This window comes from Homo sapiens, chromosome 1 (genome assembly GCF_000001405.40).
Source record: "Homo sapiens chromosome 1, GRCh38.p14 Primary Assembly".
In the NCBI taxonomy this organism is placed as follows: domain Eukaryota; kingdom Metazoa; phylum Chordata; class Mammalia; order Primates; family Hominidae; genus Homo; species Homo sapiens.
The window spans coordinates 145,160,038-145,180,482 of record NC_000001.11 but is presented as its reverse complement, the minus strand read 5'-3'; the positions used below and the strand labels follow the sequence as shown (position 1 = coordinate 145,180,482).

Here is a 20,445-nt window from a genome sequence, read left to right as displayed (position 1 = left end):
GACTAGAGAACAAGGCTTACCACTGAATTGCCAGCATGATACAGCCAGGGCCATCAAAAACACACCTGCACTAGATCATTGGGAACTTTGGAGGTGCCTTACATCTGGGCATGCATTGAACCACCACACAAGGTGAAATGCCTCTTCTCAAAGAGGCTTGCCTGCAGTTTCCACTAATGAAATTGTGAGTCATAGCTGTTCTTCTGTTTGAGATATTAGGAGGGATTTTGTGGGGGGTGAGGGGGGATGAAAGTGAGCTTTTACTGAGTTTAAAATAAAATCCAAACTCCTTGCCATGGTCTACACTGGCTTGTCTCCATCTTCCATCCCCCACCCCCCATGTTTATGCTAAAGAGCAGACTATTGAAATGTAATTCACACAGTGTAAAATTCAAATATATTAACTAGGACAGGTTATTAAATATTGACAAATGAAATCATCACCCAGATCAAGTTATAGAAAATTTCCATCATCCCAAAAATGTCTGTGGATGCCAGGCACGGTAGCTCATGCTTGTAATCCCAGCACTTGGGAGGCTGAGGCGGAAAGATTGACTGAGCCCAGCAATTTGAGACCAGCCTGGGCAACATGGCAAGACCCCCATCCCTATAAAAATTTTTTTTCAAATTCAAAAAATAAAAAATATTTAAAAAGGTCCAAGAGTCCCTTTCCAGGCAATCCCCACCCTTCTCCCCTTGGTTTATCACTATTCTGATGTTTATCACCATAGATTATGTTGCTCTCTTCTTGAAATTCATATAAATTCACTTTTTGTGTTAGCGTTTTTTTCACATCTTTGAAATGTATCCATATTATTATATGTATCTAGTTTATTTGGGTGTAACTGGTGAGTGTTATCCAATATGTGAATACACCACTGTTGATGGACAATTTGGTTATTTCTAGTTTGGACTATTATGAAGAAGGCTGCTGTGCATGAATATTATTGTACGAATCTATTTATCAACAAATATTCTGTGTTTTCTTAGATTTTGTATTTGTCTCTATTTGGCATCTATTCACCGCAGAACAATTATAATAACTATATTTTCTTATTTTCTTTATTTTTTTCTTAAAACAATTTATTGATGTATGCCTGGTATACTAAAAGCTGTACATATGTAATGAACACAATTTGCTGAGATTGGAAATAAGTATGGACACATTAAATCATCACCACAGGCCGGGTGCGGTGGCTCACGCCTGTAATCCCAGCACTTTTGGAGGCCGAGGTGGGTGGATCATGAGGTCAGGAGATTGAGACCATCCTGGCTAACACGGTGAAACCCTGTCTCTACTAAAAACATACAAAAAAAAGATTAGCCAGGCGTGGTGGTGGGTGCCTGTAGTCCCAGCTACTTGGGAGGCTGAGGCAGGAGAATGGCGTGAACCCGGGAGGCAGAGCTTGCAGTGAGTGGAGATCGCACCACTGCACTCCAGCTTGGGCAACAGAGCAAGACTCCATCTCAAAAAACAAAAAAATCATCACCACAATGCATACAATAAAACTATTCAGCTGGGCACAGTGGCTCACACCTATAATCCCAGCAGTTTGGGAGGCCCAGGCTGGTGGATCACTTGAGGTCAGGAGTTTGATACCAGCCTGCCTAACATAGTGAAACTCCATCTCTACCAAAAATACAAAAATTGTTACAGAATAATTATACATGTTTATAGGGGTACATATGATATTTTGATATATGCCTACGATGTGTAATGATCAAATCAGGATGTTTAGGATATCCATCATCTCAGACATTTTATCATTTCTTTGTGTTGGGAACATTTCAAATTCTCTCTTCTTAGCTCCTTTGAAATGTACAATATACTGCTGGTAGCTGTAGTCACCCTACTGTGCTGTTTCTTTTCTGAGATTCCACCTAACCCCTTGATGTTCCAACTGCTGTGGTTGTCTAAAACTTTGTCCTCTGTTCCTTTAATCTAGGAAGACAGTTTGGTTTTGTATTGTAATTTAGCTAATCCAAGTAAGGGGGAGCAAAGTTTGTTCTATAAACGAAAAATAAAATCCTAAGTCCCCCAACTGACTAAATGGACCCCCCGTTGGCCAACGGGACCCTAGGCAAACCTTATAAACTGAGTCCCAGGCCAAGAAGGAACGGGAGGCCAGACAAGCCTCATTATATTCCCACCCTTTTGCAATTTAGACAAAACTGACCAACATTAATGTTATCACAGAGATCATAAGACTGACGGAACAGACTCTTTATGGCAATAAGACACCAAATTATAAATAGGACTTAGGACCATTCCGGGCAAGGATTAACTCACACACCCCATATATGCAAAGAATAAACTATGTTCTAACTGCCACAAGGATTTTCTCTAGCAGCTAAACAAGCACTGGCCTTGAGAATAGGGAGTGTTGAAGCACTTGCTGCTCACCCCTCACCAGATACCGAACCCCGCTGTTCCACAAGCCATAACTACAGCCTTGACTGACAAGAGACTGATTTCAGTAACTTTCTTCTGATGAGAAGACCAGCGACCATGGACTGGTTCTGTCAGTTTTACAGTATCTGTGCATTTGAGTGCCTTTGTGTCCTGAAAAGACCTTTGTGTATAGGGCCTAATTGTAATGCATTTAAATGCTAAGTATCCATAACAAGGTGAACAAGGTTGTATATTACGTGAATGTTTGTTCAATAAGCATGCATCAGGACCCCTTCACAAATATTCATAAATCCTCCTATAACTTGTTGAATATGTATTTTAGGCCCACCCATTCAACTTAAATTCCTGTCTTGCCCCTCCCTCCCTCAAAGTGCCTGCTTCTGGGCTTCCCGCGATTCCCAGCCTGTCAGGATGACCACCTTACATGCTGTAACCCTTTAGAAGAAATAAATTCTCCTCTGTAAGCTCACAAATTGTATGGTTTTTCAGTTAACAGCCCTCTGCTGAAAGTTTGCAAAATGGGATACTCACTACCTGCCATTCTTCCATATGTCCGCCTGCTTTTGTTCAGTCTTCCAGCACCTTCAAATTATATAATATATATATGAAATAAATTTTTCTAGTTTATAGTCGTTATCTGTGGGAGAGTTACTCTGAAAGCAGCAAGAAGCCATTACCAGATGCAGATCTCATTCTGTCAGTAATGGCAACCCAGCAAATAGGGCAGGAGCCCCACCCAGGTGTGGATCAATGCATGGCTGTATAACCTTGAGCAAGCTGCTTAGTCGACCTCTGAAGTCAGTACTGCTGTATGAGAAATGGAGATATGAAAAGAACAGGAGTGCTAGGGTGCCCAAGGGAGAAAAGAGTAGGTAACAAGATTTTCGGTCAGGAGCATGAGAAACAGGGAGAGGGTCGCCATTAACTCCCCTTCTTCACCAGAGTTTTCTGGCACCCAAGACTACAGAAACTCTCCTGCAGTGGGCTTTGGGGCACATCGCAAGTTCCAGTAACAAGGGCTAAGGTCGCCCGCTTTTGGAGACCTTACAAAGCATGTATTCCCTGACCAGGAATCGAACTCGAGCTGCAGGCGGTGAAAGCGCCGAATCCTAGCCACTAGACCACCACGGAAACAACAGCAAGCACTTTTCATTCCTCTTGCCTTCCAAAGGTTTCTCCAAAAGGTGAACCTGTCTGCAATGCTCACGAAGCCCGCCAGATGCACAAGTCAAAACTGATCTAGAGATTCTGAAGTACGCTGTGCTCCTTGAGAAGTGCGGAGCCACTGGAACCACAAGCAGCTTCAGACAGGAACCAATGAGGCCATCAAAACCCTCAGCAGAGGCATCTGTGAGTTCATTGTGGTGGCTGCAGACACCACGCTGCAAGAGAGCATTCTGCACTCCCACTGCTGTGTGAAGAGAAGAATGTGCTGGGCCTGCCTGGAATGTTTGCGCACTCCAGGCGGGCCCTGGGGCGGGCCTGTGGGGTCTCCAGTCCTGTCATCACCTGTTCTGTCACCATCAAAGAAGGCTCACAGCTGATCCAGTCCATTCAGCAGTCCGTTGAAAGGCTTCTAGTCTAAACCTGTGGCGTCTAAACCCGTGGCCTCTGCTGCACAATCTCTGCTGACTCCTCCCCCTGAGGTTATTCTCAGCTACTTTCTATTGCTATAAAATATTATAGTACTAAATCTGGTTTCTGGGGTTTTGTATAGTTTTTGTTCTGTTTTACAGGGTTGTTTTCCCCCTTCTCCATGCCCACCCTTTCTCTGCCATCCTGCATCCTCTTCAACTCTCTATTGAAAAATGAACAAATGTTCAGAACAGAGGAAGTAGAGTGGTGGCACCATCAAAGGCAGGAAGGGCCAGGAGAACCTGATGGGAGCGGGGATACAGACCTGGTTCTAGCTTCCAGTCTTCCAGTCACTAACTTTCTGCTGTGTGCAGGGCACAATGGAAGTAAACACCACCCACTATATATCCCCTGTGCCTGGCATACAGAATCATTCATACATGTTGACCGAAGGGTTTCCTTTGCTTCTAGGGGATTATGTATCATTTTGGGAGGAAGCATGTATTCTGTGAGGTTGTTTAGTTTATGTCCAAGCGCCATTTACTAATGTATCCCTGCTCTTTGCTTTCGGTATGTATGTTCTTCCTCCACCTGACAATTGTGCCCCCAATGGTGGCCAGGCAGCAGCATACCAAAGAGATGTGCTGCAAGATTTCAGAGGTGGGTGAGTGAGACATGGGAAAGTGGACTCAGGTCTTGAAAGAGTCAGGAGTGGCCAGGGCAAAGAACATGAACTGGTGCTGGAATGAAGGATTCTGGGAAGGTTGTGGAGACCTGGCTGGTAGCTAGAGCAGAGATGATGGAATCCAAGGAAACAACTTCTCTCCGGTGAATCAAGATTTCTTCAGTGGACACTTAGTCCCAGCTCTGATAGCCCTTACCCCTGTTTCCTGCCACAGTGTGGGTCATATGTATTCTTTATCATATGAGGAGAGTGCTAATTAATGTGTCATTTATTTTGTGAGCATGCTAATACATATATTCATATTCCAATTTAGTGAAAAAAAACTGATCTAGAGATGCCCCTTTTCGAGGTGACAGCATGGCTCTGGAGAGATGGCCACAGGAACCATGGCAGTGGACCAGGTTGCTGGGAGAAGGCAAAAGGGGAGGCACCCAAGCTGAGAAGGGGCTAAGCACTCAGCCCCTGGGACCACCAACAGCAGGCCTGAGACACATGCAGGAAACCAGACAGCCTGGATGAAATTTCTTTCAAGCAAGGCCAGTGGTCCCTGACAGAACACCAGAGGTTTCCCCCTAAATCCTTTCGCATCTGTACCGTTTCCATCTTAGTTGGAGCTCTTTGTTCTCATCCTTGCAATACGCAGAGAAAAAAAAATCACAGGTTGTTGATTGTTTGAAGATAGGGTATTGCTCTGTCACTCAGGCTGGAGTGCAGTAGCATGATCACGGCTCACTGCAGCCTCGAACATCCGGGCTCAAGTGATTCTCCCACGTCAGCCTCTGGTGTAGTTGGGACCAAAGGTGTGCCACCACAGAGGCAGGGTTTTGCCATTTTGCCCAGAATGGTCTCAAACTCCTGAGCTCAAGGGATCAGCCTGCCTAGGCTTCCCAAAGTGCTGGGACTACAGGCATGAGACACCTTGCCCAGCCAACCAGAGTTCTTTTTGATGCCGATATTTTACTCGGACTCCACATCTAGGTAGGAATTCATGTTTTCAAGTACGGACATTGCTCTACACAATCCTCTCCTTTCCTGATCACTAAATTAGAGTAAATCACTGTCCTGAAGAAGGTACCCTTGGGAGAGTGGGTTGGCCTGTCTTTCCACCCTTTCTTGACTCTGCCCTCACCTTCAAGCCTCTTTCTGGCCTGTGTTCAAGGTCCAGAGGCATGCTTAAGACCTCTCTGTGTGGCTCTTCTTGAAGAGTCAGGAACCCCATACTTCCTGTTCAGCGGGCAGAGAAGCTTCAAGCCGCACAGTTTTGGGTATGCTAGGATCCCACAAGGCACAGATGTGCAGTGGCCCACGAAGTGAGTTTGTGGGTCTCCAGTTACCTGCAGCCCTTTCTGCTCCTGTAGGTTAAAGGGCAATTGCCTTTTTTTTTCTGTCCAGGAAGGACCCCAGAATGTTCTGAGTCAGAAAGACAGTGAATCCTCTCCTCTGGGTCAGTGGGGAGGGAGAGAGAGAGAATTCAGAGGGAAGAAAGCAGAAAAAGATGTCACAAAATTGCCTAATCAAAAGTTACCATGATGCCTGCCTCATCTGGAACTGGGCTCCCAGTCTCTAGTGAGGGAGACATAGTCCAGTCCAGTCCCAGTCTCCAGTCTGAGCCAAAGCAGAACAAAGCTGGACACTGCAGCCTGGCATCCAACGAACATTTTGTCACTTTCCCCAGGGTGGGAGCATTTGAACTTTGGATGTGAAGGAAACATGGTAACCACTGCAGTAAGAAAAGCAACTGCTGGAGAAAATGGCACTTTCTTCCCCAAATTTGTTTTTACACTCATGTCTAAGGAACACCTTAGAAACCACATTAACATCTTTCAGCAAAAGGAAATTCTGCCTGTTGATCTTTTGCTGTGAGACAAACTTGAAAAGTTCACAGACACTGCCTTTCTCTGAAAACTGCCCTTACCTCTTTGTTATAATTCACTTCAAGATCTGTTGAGTAGGAACATCAAAAATGCAAATAAAAAGTTTCAAGTATTATGAAAGAATGCAATAAAACTGCCTTTAAAAAAAATCTCAAGATGGAGGTGGAGATCCTGTGATCATGAAATCTGAATAGGCTGCTCCTGTGTCCTTCAGTGGTGATGGCTCTGAAACCCTTGTGTTTTATGAACTTCATGCCCTGGTCTTCAAACGAATTCAGTGCAGGCCAAGAAGCACAGTTTGGCCTGGGTTGGATGCTCTATATTTTCAAAGAGTGAAATGCCTTGAGACACAGCCTTTGCTATAGTACCTGCTAAAACTTCAACGTGTGGATAAATATAGCTTACATTGAATCGAATAGACTCAGCGAGAGTGGCAGTGAAGGATGCCCTCTGGAAGATTCGAGGTGCTGAGGCCAAAGGGCTAGCAAGGAAACAGCGTGCGGGTCAGGCCCTTCAGCCTGGTGGAAGAGCAGGCAGGGAGGGTCCTATGGTTCCTGGGAGGACCGGAAGCATGATCGCCTGTCAAGAGCCAAGAGCCCTAATGGCCAGCGCCGGGGAAAGGGCCCCCGAGGGGCAGTCAGCAGCCCTGCAGGGGCGGCGTCCACACTCCTGTGTGGCACGGGACACTCATGGCTCCACCAGCTCCTGAAGCTTCTGGGAGCCAGAGAGTCAGCAGGGAGAATCCCACACACGGGCACTCAGTTCCTGGAAACCCTGCATGAGATGCGGGATCCCGAAGCCAGATTGGGGGTCCCTAGGGTCTTGGCTTCGGGGCTAGGCGCGGAACCGTAAATGAGGGTTCAGCCTGTCTGCCTGAGGGATTGTGTTTCCTGCCGTATTTATCACTCAAATTTTGAAAAGCAGTCGAATTTGTTATATTGGAAACCCTAGTAGTTAAAAACAGCAGATGGTAACATTTCAGGAATATGTCTTGTGCCAGGAACTGTGAGGGGTTTCTGTAGTGTAGTGATTACATGTTCGCTTCACATGTGAAAGGTCTCAGGTTTGGGACCTTTCATCATCAACATGATGAAACCCCGTCTCCAGTAAAAATACAAAAATTAGCCAGGCGTGGTGGTGCATGCCTGTAATCCCAGCTCCTCGGGAGGCTGAGGCAGGAGAATTGCTTAATTCCAAGAGGTAGATGTTGCAGTGAGCTGAGATTGTGCCATTGCACTCCAGCCTAGGCAGCAAGAGTGAGACTACGTCTTAAAAAAAAAAAAAGAAAGAAAGAAAAGAAAACAGAGGACTTTAAAACCGTTATTATGTCAATATTCTATGGGTCCAAAGAATTAAGCAGAGGTATCAAACATATAAAAATGGTCAGAATCAAACTTTGGAGATTAAAAACTACAACATCTGAGATAATAAATTCACTGGATGCAATTAACAGCAGATTAGACACTGCAGAAAAAAAGATTATGAAACACAAAGCCGCCGGGCGCCGTGGCTCAGGCCTGTAATCCCAGCACTTTGGGAGGCGGAGGCGGGTGGATCACGATGTCCAGAGATAGAGCCCATCCTGGCTAAAACAGTGAGACCCCCGTCTTTACAAAAAAAAAAAAAAAAAATATATATATATATATAAATTAGCTGGACATGGTGGCGGGCGCCTGTAGTCCCAGCTAATCGGGAACCTGAGGCAGGAGAATGGCATGAACCCGGGAGGCGGAGCTTGCAGTGAGCCGAGATGGTGCCACTGCACCCCAGCCTGGGCGACAGAGCAAGACTCCCTCTAAAAAAAAAAAAAAAAAAAAACCGCACTGAGGGGAAAAGTCAATGTGAAATTCTACAAAAGCTGAAAATTCACTACCCCCAGCCATTACCACAAAAAAAAAAAAAAAGTTGAAGGAGTCCTCCAGGCAGAACGAAACTGACATCGGATGAAAATCTGGTTGTACAAAAAAAAAAAAAAAAAAAAAACTAGACATGACATCTAATAGACGAATATATAATTTTAACATCTGACTGTTTAGCTGGGCGTGGTGGCTCACGCCTGTAATCCCAGCACTTTGGGAAGCTGAGGCAGGCAGATCACTTGAGGTCAGGTGTTTGAGACCAGCTTGGCCAATATGGTGAACCCCTCTCTCTACTAAAAATACAAAAATTAGTCCGGTGTGGTGGCCCACGCCTGTAATCTCTGCTACTCAGGAGTCTGAGTCAGGAGAATCACTTGAACCCGGGAAGCAGAGGTTGCAGTGAGCCAAGATTGTTCCACTGCACTCCAGCCTATCTGGAACCTAGTTTGATCTGGAGGGATCTTATTTTATAGGAGGCTTGGAGGGGGACCTTTTGCTTTGTGTACTTATAGGATGCACAAGACACAAGGGAACAATCTCTCACTTTTTAAATACAGTGATAGGCCTGAGGAGAAACAACTGCAATTTTTTTTTTTTTTTTTTTTTTTAATGAGATGGGATTCTCACTGGTCTTGAACTGAGCTCAGGCGAGGCTTCCCCTACGTCGGCCTCTCAAAGTGTTGGGATTAATAGGCGTGAGCCACCGCGCCTGACCACAACTAACCAACATTTAAAAGCACGTCCCTGGGTAGGCTCGAACCACCAACTTTCCGGTTAACAGCCGAACGCGCTAACCAATTGCTCCACGGAGATAACCTCAGTTGGTCGCTTTCATCTCAACATAGATTAAGCAATCACTAAACTCTAGGGGTTGCCATTCGCTTTCTGCAGGACAACTGTGCAGACTACAAAGCTTCGGAAAACCGGAGAGGCTGAGTCGACTAATCGTGTTGTTGCACGTTAGAAACGCTTGCATTGCCTGACTCTGAAACCAGAAGGGCGGCCGAATGGCCTTCACCCTCCATTAACCCTCGCCTCCTTCAGAAGCCAGTGCCTCTGGAAATGCCTGGATCTGCGACCCCAGCCTGAGCCTAGTAGGGCCCAAGGGAAGCTGAACGCCCCGACGGCTCTCATGGTAGGTAGCTCTTTCTGTTTTTTTGCGCCGCCTTCAGGCAATCATCTACTCCGCTTGCTATCCCCTCACTCAACTCGGCTTCAGTAGATGGGGTTGGTGGGGCGGGAGCGGGAAAGAGGCAGGGGAGTCAAAAGGGAAAACCTGAAAAGAAGGAGGGAGAAGAAGCAGGGGAGACCAGGACGAGACAATGGGACAGCCCAGGATGCCGGTGCAGAGGGCACCGGCTGGATGCAGAGAAGATGGGACACGTATCAGAATGGACTGGAGAAGACGTGAGGGAAAATCACAAGAACCTGTAGCTGCCCAAGAATAAACACGTAAAAATCGCATAAATGTTTTTACATTAAAAAAAAATCGGGGGACCGGGCGCAGTGGCTCACGCCTGTAATCCCAGCACTTTGGGAGGCCGAGGTGGGTGGATCACTCACTTGAAGTCAGGAGTTCGAGACCAGCCGGGCCAACATGGTGAAAGCCCGTCTCTACTAAAAATACAAAAATTAGCTGGGTGTGGTGGCGACGCTTGTAGTCCCAGCTACTCAGGAGGCTGAGGCAGGAGAATCGCTTGAACCTGAGAGGCAGAGGTGGCAGTGAGCCGAGATCGCGCCACTGTCCTCCAGCCTGGGCGACAAAGCGAAATTCTGTCTCTCAAAAAAAAATGCATAAATAAATAAAAGAGGGGTGGGGAAGCAAAACGACGGGCAGTAGGTGTGGGGCGCATTGGGATTCTATAGTGGTTAGTACCCTGCCTTGTGCCTGCAGCAACCTCTGTTCTAATCTGAATCCTGGTACAGTCAGACTCTATCTTGGACCCACTGGGGCGAACCCACGAGTCTTTTGGTTTGCTTTTAATTCCTGCACCAGCTGCGGCCTTTATCTGCAGCCAGAAAGCAGGGTTTACCGCTGGCCCCACAGCGCCATACGGTCTGGGGAAAAGAAGGAAACCCAATAGTACACAAACAAAGGCCCAAAGAGAAACCTTCCAAGTGCTCTATGCCTCACGGTTTAGCAGAAAATATCAAGCAACTCTCAACCTAGCTGGTCTGTAGCTTCCACAAATGAAATACTGTATTCATTGCAGCCTTTCTGGTTGAGATATTTCAAATATTTGGTGGGGCTTTTAATGAGACGGAGAGACACTCTCGAGTGTGGAAGAAAAACGTGAGGGGGTGTGAGGATAAGGCGACTTTAGGACAGAAAAAACAAAGAGACAAGGAAGCCACGTAAACGTTTTCGGGTAGGCGTGAGGCGATGTCAGTTTTGAACCCCGTTATGTTAGGTAGAGAGCGCAGCCCTCTTCTAGCACAAACACCGTTTCCCACATTGAAGAAATCACAGAGATCAGCAACTCTAGAGTGCGATGAAGAAGCTTCACTCTGGGAGAACCCCCTTCGTGACCACGGTCTCTTTCCTGCCAGGTAAGTGGGAATGAGCGCATGCCCTGCAGGGACAGCACAGCGTCCTCGCCCTGGTCGGACGCTCAGGGTCACCACCCTACCCACTGCCCCCCTCGCCATTCTTCCAAACCACTCTCTGCCAAAGATTCCACCGACAGTCACCCCACACGACAACCCAGGCCGCCTTTCAGCAGTGGCTCCCGCCCCGCAACCACGCGCCCTCTCACCCCCGCGGTTCTGCCCGCCGCCTCTGTCCAGTCTGTGCACTTCACCTCCCTGGCTCCCGCTCTCCCCTGAGCTTACAGTGGACGCGGGGTTCTTCCAAACCCCTCTTGGGAATACTGAATGGAAAAGGGGGAGCGTGCGCAAGTGCTTGGTAGAGTGTAGACATTGTGGGATTTGACTGTGGTACCATCGCTTTGACGTCCTAGTGCTAATTTTTACACCTGCATTCTGCTTAGGGCACCGGCAACAGTTTTCCGTTTGTGCCTACTCCACCTGCTGTCTTTGTTGGGTCAGCGAACATCGCCTCCCTCTACCGCTCAATCAGCAAAAGGGACCGCCCTTGAGGACCTCACCCGCGGCTCACTCCCCTCCCAACTTCGCGGGCATCGCCTCCGGTCGCCTCTTCCGAAGGCCTAACGAGCATGTTAGCTGCGAACGGAGGTGAGGAGGCTCCGCTGACTGACCGGTGCCCATGTCCAGGGCACGCACAAACGCCATGACTTGGCTTGGCCTCTCTCTTAGTTATTCACAAGCTCAGCCCGATAGGCACCTCTGGGGCGGCGACGGCAAAGAGGGTGCGCTTATTAAGTGCAGCTCCACGGGGACTGGCCTCTGCACGGCTGTGTACACCTGAGCGAGACGCTCAGTCGCTCTCTAAAGCCGCTTCTGCGGATGACAGACACGGAGATAAACGTGAGAGGTGGCCCACCACGACTTGCCCTCCTTTGCCCGGGTTTGCCCCTCGCTGCGGAGGCTGTTCTACATCTGGCCCTTGGAGCAGGCCGGCTGACAGCGTGGTAAAGGAAGATTTCTGCGGGAGGGCGGCCAGTGCAAAACAATTCCCTGACCGGGAATCGAACCCGGGCCGTGGCGCTTTCAGCACCGAATCCTAGCCACTAGACAACCATGCAGATGCGGAAAGCTGCTTTCTCTCCCTTCTTCGACCTGAAGCGACACTTTCCTGTGCTCTAGGAGGACTTGGGTCTTGTGAGAGTCTCCCTTTGCTCCTGGAGTCGTCTCACAAGGCCGTTCACTCCCTGCTTTCTTCAAAAAAAGAACCTGCAGGCGACACACCAAGGGCTCCACGAGGGAGTCCTGAGTACTGGAGCGAGTTGCGGCCACGCGGCCGCAGCTCACCACTGGCCTAGAGATGCCCTTTGCCAGGCGGCAGCAACTGACAAGATGGTCGCGGGTCGCCGGGTCCGGAGCCGCCCACCAGGTTGCCAGGAGGAGGCGGGAGCGGGGAGGCGCCCGAGGTGAGACGGGGGCACCCTCTGCATCATAAAGGACCCAGACCCCGGCACCCTCAACATCATAAGGAATCAGACGGATGCGGAAACCGAGGCGGGCTGGATAGGAAACTCTTTCCAGGAAGGCTCCGGGGCACTCAACTGGTCTCCAACCTTCCCCTGCAACCTGTGACGCCTGCCATTTTCCCATTTTAGGCGATGGCAACGCAACCCCTCCGTTTGCTCTGGGCAAAACTTCGAGAGTTCCCTCTGAAGCTGGAGCTTTTTCCTCAGATCCAAGATCCAATTGGTCACCAATTCGTGATTTCCGTCGGCCAAGTGCGTGGGCATTGATCTACACGCGAGTTTCTCCACCTCTGCCGAATGGCTACTTCGGGGTGGGGGAGGGGCCCTCCCGCCGTGGATTGCAAGGTGTTTAGCAGCATCTGTCTCCTCCGCTGACTAGACACATGCCAGGGGGATAACATTCTCCCTCCCGCTTCCCCCAGCCGCGGCCTAGTGTCCCAGCGGGGTTGGGAGAGGCATGTGAGGGCGAAGTTGCCCCCTGTTGAGAACCATTGCTGCGCGTAGTCCTTCTCTCTGAACTTGTGCAGAGGACTCTCCAGGTGAAGGCTCAAGGGTGGATCCAGCTCGAGACACCCTCGCTCCCCCTCACAGTCGGACCTTAGGATTTAGGCTTTAACATCTCCACATCATGAGATTCGAAACCTTTAGGTCTTGTCTTCCGTTCTGTCCTCCAAATCGGCCTCTTCCGAGCCTGTTGACCAGGGCCAGCCGGGCAGAGGGCTGGGCTCGCTCAACGAGGCTCCTCTCGCACCTCCTGGAGCTTCAGGCTTCTTTCCGTTGCAGAGAAGCTTTATGGGCCAATTCGTTCGGCATCCCCGGGGGCAGGTGCGCGGTGCGCGGGGAAGAAGAGGATTTGACTGCGGTTCTCCACCCCCGGCGCCCAACCTCCACCCCGGTGCGCGCGCTCTTCCAGGCTCCTGCTGGTCCCACTTGCCAGGAGTTAGGTCTCAGGTCAGCCTGAGCTCCTGAGACGCCCAGGCCCGGAAAGACACGTAGGGGAAACCATCTGCTCACTTCTGTCCTGTCCGGAAGGGATCCCTTTCTGACGGGAAAGAAAGGCGGTGAGTCCTGTCCTGTTGAGTAGGCGGAAGAGAGATCAAAGGGAAGACAAGAAAAATCCTGTGAGTTTTCAGGATCTAAAGTTACCATGAGGTCGACCTAACCTCCTCTGGAGGTCCTCCCGGTCCTCCCGTGGCTGTCGAAGGTGAATCTAGCTTCCGTCTCCAGTTCGCCAAGGCGGACAAAGCCGACGACAATGGGCCTGTCCACTATCTTCTTTCATATGCACAAAATGTCAGCTCTTCTTGTTTCTAACTTGCAACATCCCACCTGATGACCAGCTCAGCAAATTAGAGACCCTCCATGGGATTCCATCTCTGTCTTAGTTCGGGCTTCCATAACTATATACCATAAACTGGGTGGCTAATTCACGACAGAAATTTATTTCTCACAGTTCTGGAGGTTGGAAGTCCGAGATCAAGGTGCCAACATGGTAGGGTTATGATGAGGGACTTTTTTCTGGTTGTAGACTGCCACCTTCTCATTGTATCCTCAGGGGGCAGAGAGAGCTCCCTGGGGTCCCTTTTATAGTGGCATTAGTCCCACTCAGACTAACGGGACTAAATCCAGACCCAGTTATTGCAATGTGTGCAAAAGAACAAGGACTTGTACTATCTGACTTCAAGGCTTACTATAAGCTATTACAGACAAGGCATCAGGAGGGACAAATAGATAAACAGACTGAGTTAAGAGACCTGAAACTGATCCACAGCCATACAGTCAATAAATGAGCTTTCAATGAAAGCAGTTCAATAGAAGAAAATAAATCATTTCAATTAATGGACTTTCATATGGAGGTGGGGGAGACCAACAATGTTATTCTCCCTCACACTACATACAAAAGTAATTTGAGGTGCATTATACACCAAAACTTAAAAGTTAAAGATATAAAGCATTTCAAGGATACTCTGTAGGTAAAGATTAGCCTACCAACAAGTAGGACACTGAAAAAATATATATAAAAGACATGATAAATTAGACTTCATCAACATTAGCCATACCTTCTCATCAAAAGATACCACTAAGAAAGTGAAAAGGCAAGCAAGCCACAGACAGAGAGAAAATAGTCACAAAACGTATCTGACCTCCACATCCTGTAATTAGAATTATTGTGGTCTGGTACACTGCACCCAGTTTCTGCAGGAGTACTTTCTGGGTGTCTCTAATGAGTAAGAGAGGGCCCCATGGGATATTCCTACAGTTCCCAGATGAACAGTGGGAAAGACTCTACGTTGACAAACCCCGGGGACCTGAAACCTCAGGTCCTCAAGGAGGGTAGAGGATACCTGGACCCTGACCCAGACCCCTAGATGGGCTGTGCCAAGAGACCCAGCAAGGGAAGGGATTCCCTCCTGCCTCAGGTTCTCTGTTCTTCTGTGGTTAGAAGACCTGAACCCAACTCCCTCCCCAAGCAGTGGAGATAGGGCTTTTCCAAGGGCTGGGGATCTTGCTGTCCTAAGGACAGCTGAGCAAGGAGGTCGAGGAGGATCTTGGGTGGTGGAGGAGAGGAAACCGGGTAAGATGTGTGAAGCAGTCGGCTATACCAGGCACAGAGAGGACCCACTGGGACACAAGAGCCTGCATGTGAAGCCAGGCCTTGGGCCACCTTGTTCCTCAAAGGGGTGCTTACTTCCATGGGATCTTCAAAGGGACTGTGGAAAGAGAAGCCTTCAGCCCACACCTCTGAATGCTTTTCCACCACAGCATGCCCTGTGGCCTGTATCCTGCTGGTGTGGAACAGTCAGACCCCTGCAGGGCTGCAGAGCCTCTGTACTGGGCGGCATCCCAGCCTGAGTGCCAGAGCTCAGTGGGCAGGCCCCCGAGCAAGTAGAGAGGAGGGCACCTTTTGGACAGAACCTGTGGGACAAGAGCGACGTCTCATCCGTTCAGGTTCCTCACAAAATGAGAGTCAGGAAGATCAGGGTGCAGACCTGATTTCCCACGAAGGGCTGAAAGCAGACAACCGGAGGGAGAGCAGCACCTGGGCCAATGAGGTAGAAGACAGAAGACCACAGTGTACTTCTGCCCTCAACCTCACCCCCTCCCACCTACATCCTCCACACCCCCTGACCACCTTCTTCAGAAACGTAATAGGAATCAAGATCCCCCCTGGCCTGGTTGCTATGGGAGGCACAGTGGCCTGATGGAGCCTGAGGCAGGTGTGGGAAGATGTGGATTGTCTAACTGGAGGTTGGGAGTCCAGGGTGCAGAAGGAGAAGCTTGGAGTGCAGGATTTGGTGGTATGTGTGTGGCAGTAGGCACTATGTTCTAATTGCCAGTTTTTTTTTCTTCTTCCTTTTTTTCTCTAGCTAAACAAGCACTGGCCTTGAGATAAGCAATGCTGAAGCACTTGCAGCTCACCTATTACCATAAACTGACTGAGCCCTCCCTACACAAGCCGTAACTACTGCTTTGATTGGACAAGAGACTGATTTCAGTAGTTTTCTCTTGATAAGAGACCACTGGCCGTGGGCGGGTTCTGGACAGTTTACAGAAGCTATGCACTTGATTGCCTTTGTGTCCCTGCTTCACCTTTTGAAGCATAGGGCCTAATTATAATGTATTTAAATGTTGTCTCCACCCCAAAGTGAACATGGGTTGCATGTAACAGGCATGTTTACTCAGCATGCATGCAGCAGGATCCCTTCACAAATATTCAGAGCTCCCCCTATTCCCTGTTGAATATGTATATGTGGCCAGCCAGATCAACGTAAATCACTATTCGCCCTCCCCTCCCTGGAAACCTACTTTTCGGGTTTCAGCAGGAAGCTATGCCTCCCAGTCTGTCAGAATGGCCACTTGCAGGCTGTAACCCTTTATAAAAAAATAAAATCTCCTTTCTAAATTTATAAATTGTGTGATTTTTCAGTTGACAGCTTTCAGTTGTCAGTCAAGTCATTGACTGGGAAAAGTCATTTGCAATATATTTATTTGAAAAATGACTCAACTCCTGAATATATAAGAACTTTCATAAATCAGTAATATAGAGCTAAGCCAAATAAAATCGGGCAAAATATTCGAATAGGCCTTTGCAAAGGAGAATTTCTTATATGCTGGAAGCCATAAGAAAATATGCTTCATAGTATTGCTCATTAGGCAAGTACAAATTAATTCCACACTGAGATACCACTAACCAATCACCAGTGTGTGACTACTTTTTTTTTTTTCTCTGAGACAGGGTCTCTCTCACCCAAGCTGGAGTGCAATGGTGCGATTGGTGCAATCTTGAGTCACTGCAACCTCCCCCTCCTGAGTAGCTGGGACTACAGGTGCATGCCACCATGCCTGGCTAATTTTTATATTTTCAGTAGAGACGGGGTTTCGCCATGTTGGCCAGTTTGGTCTGAGAGCATAGCTACATTTTAAAAAGTTAGTACACCAAATGCTGACAAGAATTTGGTGCCACTTCAACTGTCATTGCTGGTGAAAAAACATTCTAGAAGACTGGCAATTTATACTAATGTTAAACTTGTACTCAGGTCGTGACCCAGCAATTGAAGTACTTCCATGAATCTCAAGTGCACAAAAAGACCTGTAGAAGAATATTCATCACAAGAATTCAATAACACCAAAATTGAGAAGTGATCTATGAAACTACGTGGATATATCTCATGAGTATAATGAACATACCTGCAGAAAAAAGGCCAGATACAAAAGATATGTCCATTCACTCATGTGAACTTTAAGAACAGGCAATTGTAACCTATGGGAATAGACATCAGAATAGTGATTAACTAAGAGGACACAGGGTGGGAATTGCCTGGAAAGGGGCTCTAACAGGCCTTTCTCAGATGATGGCAATTTTCTATAACTTGAGCTGGGTGGTGATTACATTCATCAAAAATAAACGAACTGCACTAAAGATTTGTGCACTTTATGTGAACTGTAGTTTATTTACTGTTCTCATTGCTTGAACCCGGGAAACGGGACGTTGCAGTGAGCCGAGATTGAGCCATGGCACTCCAGCCTGGGTGACAGAACAAGACTACATCTCAAAAATAATAGTAATAGTAATAATTTACTGTTCTCATAAAAATTAGGGGATGGGGAATGGAGGCAAGCCGGTGTAGACCATGACAACTAGTTTAGATTTTATTGTAAACTCATTAAAAGCTCGTTCTCGTTTTGTGTTTTTAAAAAATCCCACTGATACAGCCGTTTTCTCTACCAGATGAGACTATAACCGTATTATTTCATCGGTGGAAGCTACAGACAAAGGGCCCTTGAGAGGCGGCATCTTCACCTATGGGAATTTTTTCTGCTCCATTGTGAGACAAAGAGCATGTCCGAGTTTTCATTTTGGCCAGGCCGCCCCCTAGTTTACGCACTGTGGGCTAAACTCCAGAAGCTGGCGCCCTTCCGGGCCAGCGGTTTACTCCGCTCTCTGGAGGCTGCTAGGATTAAAGGCAAAGCAAACGACAGGTCTTTTAGCTACAATCGCAGGAGAGAAAACACTACTGTGACTCAGATTAGAACCCAGGTTGCGGCAACCACAGCTGCAAGTATTGACCACTACACGACCAAAAAGCCTGCTGACAACCATTGTACTTCTTATATTTTTTTATGTAAAAACACTCATACTATTTTCTCTGCTTTATTCTCGAACGTCTGCAGATTTTCGTGCTTTTCTCTCTTTCATGCGCTTCTCCGTTACTCTCTCCCCATTCCGCTACATAATTTAAAAAACATCTCATCTCTCAGGACCTGGCCACTGCCTCTACAACAAGCCTCCTGGGAAGTCTCGTTGTCCCATCGACACCTCTCCCTTCTTTCGCTCCATTTTTTTTTTTTTTTTTTTTTGACGGAGTTGCTCTGTCGCCCAGGCTGGAGTGCAGTAGCGCGATCTTGGCTCACTGCAACCTCCGCCTCCCGGGTTCAAGCGATTCTCCTGCCTCAGCCTCTCAAGTAGCTGGAATAGCAGGTGCACGCCACCACATTCGGCTGATTTTTGTATTTTTAGTAGAGACGGGATTTCACCATGTTAGCCAGGCTGGTCTTGAACTCTTGACCTCAAGCGATCCATCCGCCTCGGCCTCACAAAGTGCTGGGATTACAGGCGTGAGCCACCGTGCCCGGCCAAATTTCAGGCCAACACCTGTTGACACACATTGCCAGACACACGGAATCCCTCACTGAACACCGATGGGCCCACAAAACACGCGGAGGCCACGGTGGCTGAAGATGTTAGCAAATTCGGTTCGCGGTGTCTGGGGTACAGCCTCGAGGGTCCATTGGCTACCTCTGTGCAAGGACCACTCTGCGCAAGGACCAGTCACCGCTGCTCTCCTCATCTCCATTGAGATTCTCCCGCACACACCTCCCCTTTCTTTGGGCCGCTGAGGCCTCTTGGACCTCCGAGGTGATTGCCCCGCCCGCAGCTTCTCTCCTTCCGGGAGCTTCATTTCTTGTTCCTCTCCGTAGTGGCTCAGCGGTAAGCCCAAGGTCCAGCACACGAATCAGGAAACTGATGGTTCTTGGGTTTGCAGGAATCCGCCCAGAGAACAGATGAAAGTAACAGGTACCAATATCAAAACTGCAGTGACTCACCAGAAACACTACGTGCTTGCCACTTTGCTTAGCGGTTTGTTGAGTCCAACAACTGCGTGGGTCCCGGGTTAGTCTCCTGAATGTCTTTTGCTGCTACTTTGGTCAGCGTTGTTGTCAGTTTACCTTGTGGTGGCCAAGCCCTTAAATGCACTATTAGGTTATGCAGTGTAATTCTGCAGGGCAGAAGGGTAAAGAGCCATAGTGAAGAGCAAAAAAACCTCTTGCCTTGACCGGGAATTGAACCCGGGTCTCCCGCGTGTGAGGCGAGAACCCTACCACTGAACCACCAGTGCCTCTCCCCAGCAACCCTTGGAGAATTACCGGAAAGAGTATCCAGAAAGACTTAGAAACTTCCAAGCGGCCTTTTCAAGTGTCGACTCAAAGCTAACAAAGACATCCAAACCAAATGTTTTTATAGGAAACTTTTGCTAAACAAAGTTATAAATATCAAAATAGCTCATTCATCCAAACCAAATGTTTTTATAGGAAACTTTTACTAAACAAAGTTATAAATATCAAAATAGCTCATTTGTCGGATCAAACTCTTAACTCTGAAAAAGGTCTTTCTACCTGCATTACATACCCCTATAATAAAACGTCACAAATTCATTCATGTTTCTTTTTTGTAATCCTAAATCTTCAATTGTCAACGTCAAACTGCTGCCTTAGTGGTTCTGAGAAGGTAACCTAACTGGTAGCTTAGGTAAGTAAAGTTCTAATCCAGGGAGGAAATAAGAAGCAGAAGCAGAATTAGAATTAGAGGAAAGAGGAAATAAAAGGACAGAATCAAGGTAGAGATAATGAAGAAACAAAGGTTGGTCCACTGAGTTAGTCTTTTGTCGCTGGTTTTTTTGGCAAAAGAGTAATGATCGGTCTTGTAACCATAATACTGTTATTTGTCTGCTTGAAGATGTATAAAGCATTTAAAGGAAATGTGATATAAAAAGATTAATAATGCCTGCAGTCAATATTTCATTGTTAGAGAGAATCCAATTTCCTAAGTTAATATGCTTTGATGTATTAGCTATGTAAGGAGTAGACTAGTTTAAGGAAATATTGATGGTCAAAATATTAACATATTAGTCTTTTGATGAAGTTCAAATAGAGAGATTTCTTTTCTCAATTTTCCCTGGAGAGATTAAACTGAAGAGAAAAATTCAGAGAGTTTGCCCCACATGTTGGGTCTGTGAGTCATTATGACTTTTTCAAAGACAGGAGTTGTGACATGGAATCATGCTTCTTCTCTAGCTGAGAAGCCAAGCTAGGTCCAGGCTGGGTCATAAACTTGAGCCCAACAAGGAAATCACCCTTCACATTGACCTCACAGAGCTTTGACTGTTCTCTGTTCTTTGCCCAACACCCA

At 47.6% G+C, this 20,445-nt stretch overlaps 1 long non-coding RNA gene, 1 other non-coding gene and 2 pseudogenes across 9 annotated transcripts in view, besides 2 other annotated features; 1 reads left to right on the top strand and 3 right to left on the bottom strand.

Moving 5' to 3' along the window:
* LINC01145 (long intergenic non-protein coding RNA 1145) overlaps positions 1–16,384 on the top strand; it is a 51,954-nt gene extending 35,570 nt beyond the window's left edge. The window contains exons 2-5 of one of the 8 annotated variants that reach the window (NR_111954.2): positions 9,298–9,541; positions 10,868–10,956; positions 11,397–13,537; positions 15,845–16,384. This is a non-coding gene — a long non-coding RNA (long intergenic non-protein coding RNA 1145). Of the gene's footprint in view, positions 1–9,297; positions 9,542–10,817; positions 10,957–11,396 lie in introns of all 8 variants that reach the window. The other 7 variants (NR_156691.1, NR_111958.2, NR_156690.1 and 4 more) reach the window with 7 other exon arrangements.
* On the bottom strand, positions 3,372–3,644 carry TRE-TTC10-1 (tRNA-Glu (anticodon TTC) 10-1; annotated as a pseudogene).
* Positions 10,819–10,964, bottom strand: RNU1-153P (RNA, U1 small nuclear 153, pseudogene; annotated as a pseudogene).
* Positions 18,195–18,705: an enhancer, noted in NCBI's record as "H3K4me1 hESC enhancer chr1:149293556-149294066 (GRCh37/hg19 assembly coordinates)". NCBI's record gives its function as "activates a minimal SCP1, AML or CMV promoter by ChIP-STARR-seq in naive H9 embryonic stem cells {active_cell/tissue: H9 hESC(naive)}" and the evidence as "EXISTENCE:reporter gene assay evidence [ECO:0000049][PMID:30033119]".
* Positions 18,706–19,214: an enhancer, noted in NCBI's record as "H3K4me1 hESC enhancer chr1:149294067-149294575 (GRCh37/hg19 assembly coordinates)". NCBI's record gives its function as "activates a minimal SCP1, AML or CMV promoter by ChIP-STARR-seq in naive and primed H9 embryonic stem cells {active_cell/tissue: H9 hESC(naive and primed)}" and the evidence as "EXISTENCE:reporter gene assay evidence [ECO:0000049][PMID:30033119]".
* TRNAV-CAC (transfer RNA valine (anticodon CAC)) lies at positions 19,305–19,375 on the bottom strand. Its single transcript has one exon. It is a non-coding gene; the product is annotated as a tRNA-Val (tRNA).
* Between the last annotated feature and the right edge of the window lie 1,070 nt (positions 19,376–20,445).